At 37.1% G+C, this 1,946-nt stretch overlaps 1 annotated feature.

Annotated features, from left to right (window-relative positions):
- Positions 294–353: an enhancer, noted in NCBI's record as "active region_22185". NCBI's record gives its function as "activates an Ori minimal core promoter by ATAC-STARR-seq in GM12878 lymphoblastoid cells {active_cell/tissue: GM12878}" and the evidence as "EXISTENCE:reporter gene assay evidence [ECO:0000049][PMID:35858748]".

The raw sequence follows: 1,946 nt of genomic DNA, 5'->3' as shown, positions 1-1,946 counted from the left end.
CAAAGCAGTGGATAACAGTTGGGGCAAATAATAGACTAGCCAAAAAATTTAAAAGGAAAAGCTGGAGAGTGGGATGTCCATGGGGCTTTGAAAAGCTCCTGCATATTCCTGGGAATCTACAAGGCCACATTGGGCTGTGTGCATGCCCAGCATTGTCTGCATGCTCAAGAAAGACCTGAGAAGGCCCTGAGCTCTGACCTCTGCTGACCTTGAACCTCTGCACAGTGAGGAAGTGAAAGCTAAGATAGAGTTGTCAGCTGCCTGGCTGAGTCCTAAAGGTGTGCCCAATGTACACAGATGGCCCACTGGCAAAGACCAAGAGGCTTATTGGTTCCAGGTGTTTAAGGAAATCTCTCTGTAATCATTAGCTGACTACTAAGCTGACTACTAAGCAGGAATTTCAGTGGCTACACACAACAAAGAACACAAAGAATTCATTCAGAGAAGTCACTGAACAAACAAAAATACACACAAAAGCAGTAATAGCAAACTCTGGGGAATGGGGAGAATCTGATTTTGAGAATTGCCATACTGTATTATTTGAAATGTAGTTTTCAACAAACATTGTGAGACATGCTATCTTAGTCCATGTTGTCATTGTTTGCTGCTATAACAGAATATTTGAGACTAGGTGACTAATAATGAACAGAAATGTATTTGGCTAATGGTTTTAGAGGCTGGGAGGTCCAAGAGCATGGTGCTAGCATCTGGTAAGGGACTTTATACTGTGTCATCCTGTGGTGGAAGGCAGAAGGGCAAGAGAGAGTGAGAATAAGAGAGCAAGAGGGGGCCAAACTCACTTTTATAACAAACCCACTTTCATAATAACTGACCCATTCCTGTTACAATGATGTTAATCCATTCATGAGGGCAAAGTCATATGACCTAATCACTTCTTAAAGTTCCCACCTCTCAACACTGTTGCATGGGAGATTAAGTTTCCAACACATAAATTTTGGGGGACACATTCAAACCATAGCACATGCCAAGAAACAAGAAATTATGACCCATGTGCAGGAAGGAAGCAATCAATGAAACTGTCCCACAGTAAGCCCAGATGTTTAAATTACTAAAAACACTTTAAGTCAGCTATTTAAAATATGCCTTCAAAAACTAAAGGAAACTATGTCTAAAGAACTAAAGGAAAGTATAAGAGTGATGTCTCACTAAATAGAGAATATCAATAGATATAAATTACTTTTTTAAAAGAAGCAAATAGAAATTCTGGAGGTAAAATTTACAATAACTAAAATGAAAAAGCCATTAGATTGTTTCAACAGCAAATTTGAGACAGAAGGAAGAATCACCAAACTGAAGATTGGTTAGTTGAGATTATCCAGTCTAAGAAACAGAAAAAAGAATGAAGAAAAATGAAAAGAACTTCAGTGATATGTAGAACACCATCAAGCATACCAACATATACATAATAGGAATCCCAGAAGGTAAGGAGAGAGAGAAAGGGGAGTAATAATTATTTGAAGACATATGGCTGAAAACTTCCCAAATCTGGTGAAAAACATTTATTTATGTATGTATTTAAGAAGCTTAATGAACCCTAAGTAGAATAAACTCAAAGGGATGCACACTTAGACACATGATAAACATCAAAACTAAAGATAGAGAATCTTAAAAATAAGAAAGAAGCAACTTATGACATCCAAGAATTTCTCAATAAAATTAAGAGCTGATTTATCATCAAAATCTATGGATAGTAGAGAGAGTAGGATGTTATATTCAAAGCACTGAAAGAAAAAGACTCATCTAAGAATTTTATATCTAACAAAACTCCTTCAGAAGCCAGGAATTCAGCAAAACTGTCCTTCAAAAATGAAGGAGAAATAAAATATTCCCAGATTTTAGAAACAGAGAGAATGCATTGCTAGCAATCTACCCTACTGGAAATACTAAAGGGAGTTCTTCAGGCTTAGATTAAAGCACCCTAGACA

The sequence above is a fragment of the Homo sapiens genome, chromosome 4 (assembly GCF_000001405.40).
Source record: "Homo sapiens chromosome 4, GRCh38.p14 Primary Assembly".
Classification (NCBI taxonomy): domain Eukaryota; kingdom Metazoa; phylum Chordata; class Mammalia; order Primates; family Hominidae; genus Homo; species Homo sapiens.
The sequence above is the reverse complement of the archived record's forward strand: the minus strand, read 5'-3'. Positions and strand labels throughout refer to the sequence as shown.